This window comes from Homo sapiens, chromosome 16 (assembly GCF_000001405.40).
Source record: "Homo sapiens chromosome 16, GRCh38.p14 Primary Assembly".
NCBI lineage: Eukaryota > Metazoa > Chordata > Mammalia > Primates > Hominidae > Homo > Homo sapiens.
Genome location: NC_000016.10, coordinates 74,626,908 through 74,642,550, shown reverse-complemented (window position 1 = coordinate 74,642,550; position 15,643 = coordinate 74,626,908). Strand labels below are relative to the sequence as shown.

At 43.0% G+C, this 15,643-nt stretch overlaps 1 protein-coding gene across 15 annotated transcripts in view; it reads left to right on the top strand.

The window, feature by feature from the left end:
* RFWD3 (ring finger and WD repeat domain 3) overlaps positions 1–15,643 on the top strand; it is a 45,479-nt gene that overhangs the window by 24,327 nt on the left and 5,509 nt on the right. For 12 of the 15 annotated variants that reach the window (NM_001370534.1, XM_011523191.4, NM_001370539.1 and 9 more), the window contains 5 exons: positions 4,581–4,695; positions 5,974–6,205; positions 9,878–10,028; positions 11,594–11,770; positions 13,885–14,099. In NM_001370534.1, coding sequence (NP_001357463.1) covers positions 4,581–4,695; positions 5,974–6,205; positions 9,878–10,028; positions 11,594–11,770; positions 13,885–14,099 — 890 coding nt within the window. The remainder of the gene's footprint in view (positions 1–4,580; positions 4,696–5,973; positions 6,206–9,877; positions 10,029–11,593; positions 11,771–13,884; positions 14,100–15,643) is intronic. The other 3 variants (NM_001370536.1, XM_047434323.1, XM_006721228.4) reach the window with 1 other exon arrangement.

Here is a 15,643-nt window from a genome sequence, read left to right as displayed (position 1 = left end):
CTAGCCTGGGTGACAGAGTAAGAACCTGTCTCAAAAAAATAAAGATAAATCTGTTGACCAGGTCAAGAAGGAAAAAAAGGAAAGAAAATTTTAAAGAAGAAGAAGTTAATTATAGATTCAGTAGAAGGGCCAGGCACAGTGGCTCACACCTGAAATCCTAGCACTCTGGGAGGCTGAGGCAGGCAGATCGCCTGAGCTCAGGAGTTTGAGACCAGCCTGAGCAGCATGGCAAAACCCCATCTTTACTAAAAATACAAAAAATTATCCGGATGTGGTGGTGCGTGCCTGTAATGCCAGCAACTCGGGAGGCTGAGGCACGAGAATCGCTTGAACCTGGGAGGCGGAGGTTACTGTAAGCTGAGATTGCGCCACTGCACTCCAGCCTGGGCAACAGAGCAAGACTCTGTGTCAAATTTAAAAAGGTACACTAGAAGTCTTCCTGTGAACTAAGTTCTTAATTCCATAGAGAACTACTTTCATGAATTAGGTGTTCAGCATTCCCAAGAGTTATTATGTATTTGATTAGCTATATATGTATTTGTAAATTATACATAGTATGATATAGAAAGTTTTGTTTTGGTTTTTGGTTTCTTTGGTTTTTTTTTTTTTTTTTTTTTTTTTTGGAGACGGAGTTTTGCTCTTGTTGCCCAGGCTGGATTGCAATGGTGCAATCTTGGCTCACTACAACTTCCCGCCTCCCAGGTTCAAGCAATTCTCCTGCCTCAGTCTCCCAAGTAGCCGGGATTACAGGCGCCTTTCACCATGCCCAGCTAATTTTTTTTGTATTTTTAGTAGAGACAGGGTTTCACCGTGTTGGCCAGGCTGGTCTGGAACTCCTGACCTCGTGATCAGCCTGCCTTGGACTCCCAAAGTGCTGAGATTACAGGCGTGAGGCACTGCACCCGGCCAGAAAGTTTTTATACTGTATGCAAATGTTATGTTAGATTATAACTTTTTCTTCTGTAGCTTGCTTTTTTGCTTAATTTTATGCTTTGGGAGTATATCCTAGTTGATACATGGGACTCTAGTTTTTTTCATTTCAATTTCTTGATAATATTCTAGTTCTCTAGTCAAAATTAATCTGTTTAGGCCAGGCGTGGTGGCTCACACCTATAATCCCAGCACTTTGAGGGGCTGAGGTGGGCGGATCATCTGAGGTCAGGAGTTGGAGACCAGCCTGGCCAACATGGTGAAACCCCATTTCTACTAAAAATACAAAAATTAGCCGGGCATGGTGGCACGCACCTGTAGTCCCAGCTACTCGGGAGACTGAGGCAGGAGGATAGCTTGAACCCAGGGGGCAGAGGTTGTGGTGAGCCGAGGTCGCACCATTGCACTCCTGCTTGGGCAACAATGGCGAAACTCTGTCTTCAAAAAAAAAAAAAATTATCTGTTTGTGTTTTACATTGGTAGACATTTAGGTTGTCTCCACTTGTTAATATTAGCCATGCTGCAGAGAGGTCTAGCAATGGAATTGCTTTATTATAGGGCACATTTAATTTCAGCTTTACCTAAATATTGTCAAATTACTTTTCTAACTTAAACTTTTCTTGTTTAAAAAAAAAGGAGAGATTTCTCATTTTTTCATACCTTTGTGAATTTTATTTATTTTGAGACAGAGTCTCGCTCTGTCGCCCAGGCTGGAGTGCAGTGGCGTGATCTCAGCTCACTACAACCTCCACCTCCCGGGTTTAAGTGATTCTCCTGCCTCAGCCTTACGAGTAGCTGAGACTACAGGCACCCGCCACCACGCCTGGCTAATTTTTTGTATTTTTAGTAGAGACGGGGTTTCACCATCTTGGCCAGGATGGTCTTGAACTCCTGACCTCGTGATCCACTCACCTCGGCCTCCCAGAGTGCTGGGATTACAGGCATGAGCCACTGCGCCTGGCCAAAAAATTTTTTTTAAAGACAGGGTCTTGCTCTATCACAAAGGCCAGAGTGCAGTGGCGCCATCAGATTCCTAGGCTCAAGCAGTCCTCCAACCTCAGCATCCTGAGTAGCTGGGAGTACAGGCGCATGCCACCACACCTGACTTATAATTTACTAAATAGTATATTTTTCTGTACAAATTTTCATTGCTACTTCTATCCTTAATTAAGTTTCCGGGCGGGCGCATTGGCTCACGCCTGTAATCCCAGCACTTTGGGAGGCTGAGGTGGGCGGATCACAAGGTCGGAAGTTCGAGACCAGCCTGACCAACATGATGAAACCGTGTCTCTACTAAGAATACAAAAATTAGCTGGGCGTGGTGGCACACACCTGTAATCCCAGCTACTCAGGATGCTGAGTCAGAAGAATCGCTTGAACTCGGGAGGAGGCGGAGGTTGCAGTGAGCCAAGATCACGCCACTGCACTCCAACCTGGGCAACAGAGCAAGACTGTTTCAAAAAAAAAAAAAAAAATTAAGTTTCCATGTATGAATGGGCTACAGTAGTCCCCCCTTAGCCACAAGGAATACATTTCAAGAGCCCCCAGTGAATGCCTGAAACCGTAGTATGTTTTTTCTTATACATACAAACCTAAAGGATAATTTATAAATTAGGAACAGTAAGAGATTAACAATAATAAATAATAAAATAGAGCAATTATACCAGTATACTATAGTAAGTTATGTGAGTGTGGTCTCCATCTCTCTCTCAACATATCTCGATATTTGTAGGTTGTGGTTGATCACAGATATCAGAAACCATGGAAAATGAAACTAGATAAGGAGACACTGTACTCTTTTGTTCCACAGTCTTTTTGTTAATTCTTTCTCACATATTCCAAGCTATAATTTATTGTAGCTTTAATATATGTTCCCCCATTTTGTTCTGCAAAAGTATTTTTTTGCTATTTTTGGCATTGTTCTTCATATTAATTTTTTAAAATTAATTTGTTAAGTTCCATGAAAAACACCTTTGGGATCTTGATTGAAATTGCATTAAAAATTATTATAGGGTAACTTGAGAAGTACCATCTTTGTGATAGTCTTTTCAGTCATGAACATTATGTAATATCCTTCCATTTGTTCACTGTTTTCTTGTGTCTTTCACAAGTGTATTTTGCTTCATAAAGATCCTGCCTAGCCTTTTACTTTACAGTCACGTGCTGCATAATGACCTTTGGGTCAATGACAGATTGCATATACGATGGTGGCCCCATAAGATTATAATGGAGCTGAAAATTCTGTTGCGTAAGTGATGTTGTAATCATTGAAATGGCTTAGCGCACTGGGTGTAGTAGCTCACACCTGTAATCCCAGCACTTTGGGAGGCTGAGGCAGGTGGATCACTTGAGGCCAGGAGTTTGAGACCAGCCTGGGCAACATGGTGAAACCCTGTCTCTACTAAAAATACAAAAATTAGCTGGGTGTGTTGGCAGGTGCCGGTCATCTCAGCTACTTGGGAGGCTGAGGCAAGAAATCTCTTGAACCCGGGGGGCGGAGGTAGCCGTGAGCCTGGATCACGCCACTGCTCTGCAGCCTAGGCAATGGAGTGAGACTCGGGCTAAAAAAAAAAAAAAAAAAAAAGTCTTAGCTCAATGCATTACCTTTTCTATGTTTAGATACATAAATACCATTATAGTACCATTGCCTATAGTATTCATTATGGTAACATACTATACAAGTTTGTAGCCTGGGAGCAACAGTATATAGCTTAGGTGTGTAGTAGGCTATACTGTGTAGGTTTCTGTAAGTACATTCTGTAATGTTTACATGACGAAATCACCTAACAACATGTTTCTCAGAACATGCCCACATCATTAAGCTGCACATGACTGTATTTCTAGATTGCTGTTAAAATTGTTGTGAATGAATTTTTTAAATTACATTTACTAATCAGTTATCTGATGAGGACTGCTGTTGATCTAATTTTTTTGGTCTTGAGTCCAGCAGCGTTGCTAAACTGTAATTGTTTTGGGGGTTCTCTTAAATTTGCCATAAAAATTAATAAGGGCAGCTTTATCTTTTCCAATTTTCATCTTTTTCTTGCATATCTTACTGGAGTGGAATTCTGTCTTTGCATTTCATATTTTGAGACTGTTTTTAGGTACATACAAATATATATTTGTTATTCTTGGTGAATGTGTCCTTTTATGATACATTGTTCCTCGTTATGCCTATTTATGCTTTTTCCTTAATTCTAATTGGTCTTTCCTTTGTTAATATTTGCTTGATGTCTACTTTTGCTCTTTTTAACTTCAGATTCTTTTTTGGGTTATATTATTTGAGTATCTCATGAACAACCAACAGCTTACTGTTTCCTTTTTAATCCAGTAACCTTGGCCTTTTAACATGTCAGTTTAATCTTTTACAATTTGCCGTAGCTGAACACTAGATTAGCTCTGTTCTCTCGTTTTGCCTGTGGCATTTTTAGTCCCCATTTTCTAGTAATAGTCAAATTCCTGACCATCACTCCCTGCTTACCCTAAAACCTGTTTCTGGAGAGATTTTTCTCTTTTTATATTTTATTCACTATCATAACATATTTACAGCAAAGAACGTGCATCATAGCATGAACTTAACTCTGCCACCTGGATGGGAAGTCTTCTGTAGCCTTCCTAATCCCCACTTGTTGCTGGCTTTCCCCCTCTAGTTCCCTACTGAAGGAACAGATGCTAAGGAAACAGGCCGAGTTAGAATCAGCACAGTGCCGACTCCAACTGCAGGTCCTCACTGATAAGTGCACTAGGCTTCAAAGGCGTGTTCAGGTACGTTTGTCCTTTCTAATCCAAAGAACTTTTGGAATAGGAATGGAAGAGGAAGCTAATGTTAGTTATGTTCATCTCAGAAACAAATAGGATTTGCCAAGTTGTTTAGGAAATGAACATGACCAACTCCTTATTTTATTTCTGATTAGGGCATCTGTTCAAAACTTACTACACACTTTATGATGAGGTCTACTATAGTCTGAATTTTATTTTTTATTTTTTTGAGGCAGAGTCTCACTCTGTCACCTAGGCTGGAGTGCAGTGATGTGATCTCGGCTCACTGCAACCTCTGTCTCCTGGGTTCAAGCGGTTCTCCTGCCTCAGCCTCAGCATCTCGAGGTGCTGGGATTACAGGAGCCCACCACCATGCCCAGCTAATTTTTGTACTTTTAGTAGAGACAGGGTTTCACCATGATGGCCAGGCTAGTCTTGAACACCTGACTTCAGGTGATCCGCCTGCCTTGGCTTCCCAAAGTGCTGGGATTACAGGCGTGAGCACTGCACCTGGCCTTACAATCTGAATTTTAGAAAAAATTAAATAGCCAACCAAGAATTCCAAACTTGTTTAAGTAATTTTACCTTCCTAAATCTACTAGTAAAATGAGGGCTTTACCAGGAGTTTGAAGGTTACAATGAGCTGTGATCGCACTACTGCACTCCAGCCTGGATGCCATGGATGACAGAGTGAGACCCTGTCTCCTTTTAAGTTGTTTTTTTTTTTTTTTTTTTTTTTAAAGGACTTTAAACGAAACCACCATTAAGGACTTTCAACCCTCATATTATGATTCTGTGCTCTCCTTATTTCACTTGCTTGTTGAAATACTGTAAAAACTCAGCAGTTCTGGCCGGGCGCGGTGGCTCACGCCTGTAATCCCAGCACTTTGGGCGGCCGAGGCGGGTGGATCACCTGAGGTCAGGAGTTCAAGACCAGCCCGGCCAACGTGGTAAAACCCCATCTCTACTAAAAATATTTAAAAATTAGCCGGGCATGGTAGTGGGTGCATGTAATCCCAGCTACTCAGGAGGCTGAGGCAGAAGTGCTTGAACCCAGGAGATGGAGGTTGCAGTGAGCCAACATGGTCCCACTGCACTCCAGCCTGGGTGACAGAGTGAGACTCCGTCTTAAAAAAAAAAACAAAAACTCTGCAGTTCTCTAGGATTCATGTTAACACTTTCATATAATGGATAAAAAATCTTCCTGTAAAAGATCAAGGAATTGTATTTGAGGGGAATATCAAATTAAAAAGCTTTGTATTTATAAAATCTTTTTCATTTTAGGACTTGCAAAAACTTACGTCACATCAAAGTCAGAATTTACAGCAACCCAGGGGCTCCCAAGCATGGGTCCTGAGCTGCTCACCCTCCAGCCAGGGCCAGCACAAGCACAAGTACCACTTCCAAAAGACCTTCACAGTATCTCAGGCAGGAAACTGCCGGATCATGGCATACTGTGATGCTCTGAGCTGCCTGGTGATATCACAGCCTTCTCCTCAGGCCTCTTTTCTTCCAGGTAAAGAGTCTAGAACCTCAGCTTTCATGTTCTTTATTAGACTCCATATATTTATTTCCTTGCCTTTTGGAAAATTCAAGACTCAAAGGTTACCAAATCACCTTTCCCTATTAGTTCCTTGTTAATGCAAGTACCCCAGGGTGCTGCAAAGATGTCTTTACTGTCTGTTGACTTCATTCTGTAAATTTATTAACCAAGAGGGTAGAAATACTGATAACCATGATAAAGCAGATGGTGAGGTCCTTGGAAGTGTAGGTTACTGATATAGTCCAAGAAGGACTTATATGTCCTCAACTTACAGATGCATTTTAGACTGGAAATGTTTGACAAAACACAGCCCTAAGGGTTAATTCAAGGTGAAACAAAATTTAATATTTACTTACAATAGTGTTCAAGTTAACAATTTCCAAATAAGAGAATTTAGGGAGTAAATTGATTATTTTATTAATACTAGGTTAATTTTCTCTCAACATGTTTTGTGTTTTTAAGCTTAATTTTAGGTTTTCTAAATGTTGAAAACCAAGTCTTTTCAAATGCTCAATTAAATCATTTCTAAATCTTGCAGATGTTTCTTTCTGCTGTCTTTAGCATAAGATTTCTGCCAACTGCAAGACCCCTTTGCTTTAGCATGGTTATATAATGTTCCTTTATCCCATCTAAGTTTTTAATAAAAAGATTTATCATCAAATAAAACCAACAAATTGGAAAAATAGCTATTTCCTAATGTTCCCCAAATTGGGAATGTGTTCTGTTCTTTTTTTCTTAACGTGTCCATTCCAGTCCGCTTGATAGTGTGCTGGTGTTGATTTGTCCTTGTTCCCCTTAATGATTAACTCGGTGTGTATTTCTGTTACCTTGTTGATTTTTTTTTTTTCTTTTGAGATGGAGTCTCACTCTTTTGCGCAGGCTGGAGTGCAGTGGCCTGATCTCAGCTCACTGCAACCTCTGCCTCCTGGATTCAAGAGATTCTCCTGCCTCAGCCTCCCAAGTAGTTGAGACTACGGGTGCATGCCACCATGCCTAGTTAATTTTTTTTTTTATTTTTTATTTTTTTTATTTTTTTGAGATGGAGTCTCGCTCTTTCGCCTAGGCCGGACTGCAGTGGCGCTGTCTCTATCTCGGCTCACTGCAAGCTCCACCTCTCGGGTTCATGCCATTCTGCCTCAGCCTCCTGAGTAGCTGGGACTACAGGCGCCCGCCACCACACCCAGCTAATTTTTTGTATTTTTAGAAGAGACGGAGTTTCACCGTGTTAGCCAGGATGGTCTCAATCTCCTGACCTCATGATCCGCCCGCCTCGGCCTCCCAAAGTGCTGGGATTACAGGCGTGAGCCACCGCGCCCGGCTATGCCTAGTTAATTTTTGTATTTGAAATGGGGTTTTAACATTTTGGTCAGGCTGGTCTCCAACTCCTGACCTCAGGTGATTCACCCATCTCAGCCTCCGAAAGTACTGGGATTACAGGCATGAGCCACCATGCCTGGCCACCTTGTTGATTTAAAGCCTATACCTGCGCCCCCCTTCCCCCCTTTTTTTTTCCTCTCTGGCTGTCTTAATTCTGCTAGAAGAAAGTACAGTAAGCCACGTGCTTGGTTCCCTGGAGAAGCTGAAGCTATCTTGAATCTAGGATTTGACGTATTTTTAAAGAATTTAACTCAAGTGGGCACAGTGGCTCATGACTGTAATCCCAGCACTTTGGGAGGCCAAGGCGGGAGGATCGTTTGGGCCCAGGAGTATGAGACCAGTCTGGGCAACATAGTGAGACTCCATCGCTATAAAAAAAATTTTTCTTAACTAGCTTGGTGTGGTGGCACACCTCTCTGGTCCCAGCTACTTGGGAGGCTGAGTTGGGAGGATCGCTTGAGCCTAGGAGATCGAGGCTATTGTGAGCCATGATGGTGCCACTGCACCTTAGCATGGGTGACAGAGTGAGGCCTTGTCTCAAAATATATATATATATATATATAAAGTACTTAGTAAAAAATAAATGTTATCATAGCCTAGTAAGAGAACAGAGTAACAAGAAGTTTTAAAAGGTTATTGGTTTTTGTTGGTTATTTTCCCCCCACTTCAGTAATGTGGGTACTTGAAATGTCATCTGTTTCATTTCATTTCAGACAGATGTGACATATCTTGACTGACAAATTATTTATTTTCATTCTCTATTGTTCACTATTCCTTCTGCATCTGGAGTGTCTGTGGTTCTGGTGAAATATTCTGTCTCTCAACAGCTTTATTGAAGTAGAATTGACAGAGAGTAAACTACATATTTAAAGTATACAATTTGATGACTTTTAACATATGTAATACACCCCTGAAACCATGACTACAATCAAGATAACTTTAATTTTTTTTTTTTTTGACAGAAGATCTAGTTCTGTCTTCCAGGCTGGATGCAGGGAGGGGTGTGATCTCCCGGGCTGGAATGCAGGGAGGGGTGTGATCTCAGCTCATTACAACCTCCGCCTCCTGGGCTCAAGTCATCCTTCCACCTCAGCCTCTTGAGTAACTGGGACTACAGGCTCGCCCCACTACGCCCAGCTAATTCTCATATTTTTTGTAGCAACAGGGTTTCACCATATTGCCCAGGCTGGTCTCGAACTCATGATCTCAAGCGAGCCACCCACCTCAGCCTCCCAAAGTGCTGGGATTACAGGCGCGAGCTACCATGCTTGGCCATGAACATATGTATTACCGCAAAAGTTTCCCTATGGCCTTTGATAATCTCACCTGCCCCTCCCTCCTCTCCCATCCCCAGCAGTCACTGCTTTTTGTCACTACAGATGAGTTTGCATTTTCTAGAATTTTACATAAATGGAATTATATAGTGTTACCATTTTTTGGTCTGACTTCTTTCTCGCTGCATAATTTTTTATTGTATATATTAGTAGTTAATTCCTTTTTAACGGGTGGTATTCCATCACATGTTTATACAGTAGGTTTGTTTATCCATTTACCTGGATGTTTGGAGTAGGTTATACTTTTTCTTTTTTTTTTTCTTCTTCTCTTCATTGTCATGAAGCAAGCATGGGTTGTACTTTTTTTTCTTTTCTTTTTTTTTTTTTTCTGAGACGGAGTTTTGCTCTGGTTGCCCACGCTGGAGTGTAGTGGTGCAATCTTGTCTCACTACAACCTCCGCCTCCTGGGTTCAAGCGATTCTCCTGCCTCAGCCTCCTGAATAGCTGGGATTACAGGAACTTGCCACCACGCCTGGCTAATTTTTTGTGTTTTAGTAGAGACAGGGTTTCACTGTGTTGGCCAGGCTTGTCTTGAACTCCTGACCTCAGGTAATCCACCTGTCTCGGCCTCCCAAAGTGCTGGGATTACAGAGGTGAGACACCATGCCTGGCCTGGGTTGTACTTTTTTAAATGAATCATAGGCCAGGTGTGGTGGCTCATGCCTGTAATCCCAGCACTTTGGGAGGCTGAGGCGAGCAGATCACCGGGAGGCAGAAGTTGTAGTGAGCTGAGGTTACGCCACTGCATTCCAGCCTGGCCAACTCTCAAAAATAAATGAATAAATTGTAACACTAGAGAATTTTTGTTTGACCAGCTGGTTCCCAAGGACTTATACGCCAAGAAAGGTGGACGAAGGAGCTACTTGAAAAACTAGTTTGAATTGCCCTAGGTTCACTTTCAGTGATCTATTTCATACTATTTTGCCTTTTTCAGGCTTTGGTGTTAAGATGTTGAGTACTGCCAACATGAAGAGCAGTCAGTACATTCCGATGCATGGCAAACAGATCCGTGGACTGGCGTTTAGCAGTTACCTCAGAGGCTTGCTACTCTCTGCTTCCCTAGACAACACTATTAAACTGACCAGGTGAGTGATTTGGGGAAGTAGGTGGAGACTGGGCTCTTTGGTGTTGAGTAGCATGGAATTCGTATCGGTGTTATGATGACCTTAGCTCTGTTTTTTGTTGTTGTTGTTGTTTTGTTTTGTTTTGTTTTTTTGAGATGGAGTCTCGCTCTGTCACCCAGGCTGGAGTGCACTGGTGGGATCTCGGCTCACTGCAAGCTCCACCTTCCGGGTTCAGGCCATTCTCCTGCCTCAGCCTCCCGAGTAGCTAGGACTACAGGCGCCTGCAACCATGCCTGGCTAATATTTTCTATTTTTGTAGTAGAGACGGGGTTTCACTGTGTTAGCCAGGATGGGCTCAATCTCCTGACCTCATGATCCGCCCGCCTCGGCCTCCTGAAGTGCTGGGATTACAGGCGTGAGCCACTGCGCCCAGCCGACCTTAGCTCTGTTTTTTTTGGTCTGAGACTGTGTCTTCTGAGATCCATTTAAAATATATTGCTTTTAGAAGTGGGCACAGAAGGTTACAAAACTGTATGTTTCCTGTTTCTTTGAAACTATGTATATTACAAAATATGTCTTAAGTATATTTTAAGGAGATGAGAATAAAACTCTAAAGTTGGTGGAGACCAGGCGTGGTGGCTCACGCCTGTAATCCTAGCGCTTTGTGAGGCCGAGGCAGGCAATCAGCTGAGGTCAGGGGTTTGAGACCAGCCTGGCCAACATGGTGAAACCCCGTCTTTAAAGTTTGTGGAATGACAGGATGGAGGAAGCTTTGGTGCCTGACATCAGAGTCGCCATACCAGGTTGGTACTGTTTACTCCTGGTCCTGGTCTGTTACCTGGATAATTCTGTGTAACAGAGATGTTCACCAAGCACTCACTGCCCTTGAGTACCATGATGACTTCTTTTATACCCTTAGTCACAGCGTTTTATCTGTCACATGCTCTGTGAGTACTGTGAACCAGATGTGAGTGTGCTCCGTGCCTTTATAAGTATTGTTTTAAAAATAAGGTAGAAAAATGTTACATACCAGAGTGTTGGTTGGGTTATTATTTATTTATTTTTGAGAGAGAGAGAGAGTCTCACTCTGTCACCCAGGCTGGAGTACAGTGGCATGATCTTAGCTCACTGCAACTTCCGCATCCCAGGGTTCAAGTGATTCTCCTGCCTCAGCCTCCCGAGTAGCTGGGATTACAGGTGCATGCCACCACACCTGGCTAATTTTTGTATTTTAGTTTCGCCATGTTGGCCAGGCTGGTCTCAAACTCCTGACCTCAAGTGATCTGTCTGCCTCAGAATCCCAAAGTGCTGGGATTACAGGCATGAGCCACCATGTCCAGCCCTTTTAATTTATTATTTTATTTCCTTAGAACTCAAGAGGAAAACCTGTGGCCCCCAAAACAAATGTTATGGAATTTAAAGGAGTTACCTGGGCAGATTCTAGAAAAAATAGGGAATCCAGATAGTTTGGGAGTATGAGTGTGTTCTCAGTAAGGATTAATGATCATTTAAATGATAATCTTTACATCTTTGTCATGTATTTGATTTTCTTAATGCAGTTGTAAAAGTCTTTTGTAACTCCACAGCCTGGAGACAAATACCGTGGTCCAGACTTATAATGCTGGACGTCCTGTCTGGAGCTGTTGCTGGTGTCTTGATGAGGCTAACTACATCTATGCTGGACTGGCCAATGGTTCAATTCTGGTATATGACGTGCGAAACACGAGCAGTCATGTGCAGGAGTTAGTAGCTCAGAAAGCCAGGTAGGGAGCCACTCACTCTTTTCCTGGTGGTAGCAGCTTTCTCTTGGCTTATTATTGTGTTAATCGTCTCTTCAGTGGGTGTTCCACAGTTAGTCAGAAATCCTCACAAATTTTTTGAAGATCCACTTGATCTCACTTCAGAATCAATAACATTCTTATTAATAAGAGTTTGTATTCATGCTATTTCATATGATGGAGAGTTCTGGTACAAGTATAGCCAGGTTCATAGTAATCATCTAACATGGCAAAATAGAGTCAGATCTATATTCAGAACCCAGCTCCACTACTTAGAAGTTGTGTGACCTTAGTTGTATTTTCTTGGCCCACTGTGAGCTTAATCTGTAAAATCTGGTCAATGTAGACTTGCTTTAATAGCCACATGTCGCTGGGTGCGGTGGCTTACGCCTGTAATCCCAGCACTTTGGGAAGACGAGGCGGACAGATCAGGAGGTCAGGAATTCGAGACCAGCCTGACCAACGTGGTAAAACCCCGTCTCTACTGAAAATACAAAAAAATGTTAGCCATGCGTGGTGGCACACGCCTGTAATCCCAGCTACTCAGAAGGCCGAGGCAGAAGAATCTATTGAGCCTCGGAGGCGGAGGTTGCGGTGAGCCGAGATTGCGCCGTTGCACTCCAGTCTGGGCAACAGAGTGAGACGCCATCTCAAGAAAAAAAAAAATAGCCACATGTCTAGCACATAGGAAGAGATCAGTTAAGGGTAACCTAATCAAAAGTGATTTAAAACTTCCCTAATCCAAAGCTAAACCAACTTGTTTGAAGATACCATATTATTATTATTTATCATTTAATCCAGTTATGAGATTGAGAAGTTTATAAAGTGAGCCCAAGTTCTGAGGATGGATGGCCACCAGCACCACTCTGTCTTAGAATGTGTTGAGCTGCCCTGTAGGTATAAAGTTATCAAAAAGGGAGTAGGGTCTGTGACCTGGCCAAAATCTGAAGTATCTTAACAGATAATTTATGTTTCCAACTGGATATATTAAAAAGAGCAAGGAGAGCCAAACATAAAGATACCACTAAAGTAATAATTCTTTACTGAAACCTAGGCCCAAATAGAGTAGACAGTAAAATATGGCAAGGTTTTTTTTTTTTGTTGGTGGTAGTGGTTTTTTTGTTTTGTTTTGTTTTTTTAAGATGGTGTCTCACTCTGTCACCCAGGCTGGAGTGCAGTGGCACAGTCTTGGATCACTGCATCCTCCACCTCCCGAGTAGCTGGGACTATACGCGTGTGCCACCACACCTGACTAACTTTTGTATTTTTAGTAGAGATGGGGTTTCACCATATTGGCCAGGCTGGTCTCAAACCGGTGACCTCAAGTGATTCTCCCACCTCGGCTTCCCGAAGTGCTGGGATTACAGGCGTGAGCCACCATGCCCAGCCAAACACAGCAAGTTTTAAAATAGCAAGGAAAGAATATTTGTATGTAATGTTCATTTTTATTTTTGTTTACTTTGATTACCTTTATTGTGACAGGGAAAATAAAACAGGCAAAGTAGACACTTTGGCAACTTTGGCACGAACGACTTCATAGCAGAAATGAGTTGATAGGAACACAGTCGGAAGGATGATATTTCTGAGAGAATTCTTGGCGCATAGTCCTGGTCATATGCTTGCAGAAGGAAATTTAGAAAACCTAAAACAGTCCTGTTTCTGAATTAAAATGTAGCTGCTTTTAGCTGTATTTTAATTGTGGGGTCTGTCAACTACAACTTGGGATCTTTATTTTGTTATGTATATAAGCTTTGTTTCTTTTCTGACTTTTCTTATGTGGCTAAACCCATTTCCAGAAGCTTCACATCAGTCAAGCTTCATAGTAATTGTGATCTTGTATCCCTTAAATTTCCTAGTTCTTTTTTTCCTTTTCTTTTAGAGCATCTGGTATCTCACCTGAAATTAGTTGCAGAATATTATATGTATGTCCTTTTGTTTCTACAGAGAGGGTTGATAATTTTTATCAGATATCAGAGGATAGTGACTAAAGGCGTTTAACCTCCTCTGCAGAGGTGGGAATGTGCTTGAGGTCTGGTAGTGGGGTCTGGAGCCGTCCGAGTTTTGGAGTGTGAGATACAGTTTCCTTACTTTCCTTTCAGATGCCCACTGGTCTCCCTGTCATACATGCCCAGAGCTGCCTCAGCTGCATTTCCATATGGTGGGGTGCTGGCTGGAACCTTGGAGGATGCTTCATTCTGGGAACAGAAAATGGACTTTTCTCATTGGCCTCATGTGCTGCCCTTGGAGCCAGGGGGCTGCATAGACTTTCAGACAGAGAACAGCTCCCGGCACTGTCTTGTGACCTACAGGCCTGGTAAGTAGTGCTGGGGTCTCCCATAGCTTATTTGGGAGCACAGTGGTAGAGAAAAGGGAAGGAGGGTTTGATCCTACCCTTTGGGTGGCTGTGGTACCGCTCACAGGCTAACGAGGTGTGTTGTAGCTCTTGCTACTACAGGGAGTATGGTGGCTCCAAGCTCCCCCACAGAGCCTGCCTCCCTGCTCCTTACGTGTGAGGACTGGAGCATATTCTGCCAGGTACTCCTGGAAGTGAATTAGCCACTTAGGAGCCCCTACAGTTTAGAACAGTAGTGGAACAAGGGGGCCAGCTCTAGGTCATTGAGCCACCTTGAGATCACTTTCGTATCTTCTGCCTGCCTCTTACTTCCCCTGAGAGAAAGGCCCAGATTAGGGCAGCCATGTAGTAGCCCGGCTGGCATACTGAAATGGACAACAGTGGCTGTGTGTGCCCAGCCAGCTGAACATCTCTGCCTCTGGAATCAGAGGTGGAACGCATAACAGCAGACTGTGCTTCATTCACAGGTTCTTTCTAGGCTAAGCGGCATGAATCTAAATTCCTGGTAAACTGTACTGATGGTCAGTGTTCTAGGTTTTTTCTTTCTAATTTGGTCTTGAGGTCTCTGTCAGGAGAGTGGCTATAAACTCTAGCCCTGTCCTGCCAAACACTAGGGAGTTCGTTGTGGGTGTTCATAGTTTGCCTTTCACAGGATACTCCTCTGTCCTGGCAGATGGCCTAATGCCTGCCTGACCCATGACCAGATGTCCCTCTCACAGGAAACTTGTTTGTACTGGCAGGTACCCTTGTGGCTCTTGTCTGAACTGTGTCTAGTTCATTTCCCTTGAGATAGTGACTCTCTAGAAGAGCCCTGACTAGGAAACAAGTTAGGTTCAGGTGTGTTGGTCAGGTGAGACACAAAGGAGGCAGTGCACAAAACACAGGAAATAACGGAATCAGCTTACTTGACAGATCCCACAGAGAAGAGGGCAGCATGCTTCAGGGGCCAATGGGAAGAAGGGGGAGCCATCCAGGACAGGCCTGCTCCCTTAGGGGTGGGGTAGGGGTGGAGGGGAGGGACAAGTGGGCTATATTTCAAACCTCTGCTCAGGGAAGGGATGTTTTAACTAGGCCAAAGTTGACAGGGTACATCTGGGTTTCAAATAATTTATGCTAGCCCTAAAAACAGATGCTGAGGTAACAACTGTATTAAACACATTTGTAACAGTCAGGCAGATGTATAGTCAGAGTTAGTCATTAAATGCTCACACTTCTGCTAGTTGTGGGTGGGTCTACTCATGTTTTTAAGTTTTGTTTGAGCTGAGAAACATCCCAGTACCACTTCAGACCCTTTGGCTCTTCATCATCCCACAGCTCGGCTGTCTCCAAGACTGTGATTTGTTGTGACTGGTGTACAAAGCCTGGGGGTCCTATTTTGTTATCTTGCTTTTGTTTGCCTCCCAGCAGAATTTCAGATACATGTTTCCCTTTCTGTAATAGCATGCTTTCACTTTATAAAAATGTGCAGTCCCAGGGGCTAATGAGGTTCTCACTGGGGGAAGGGA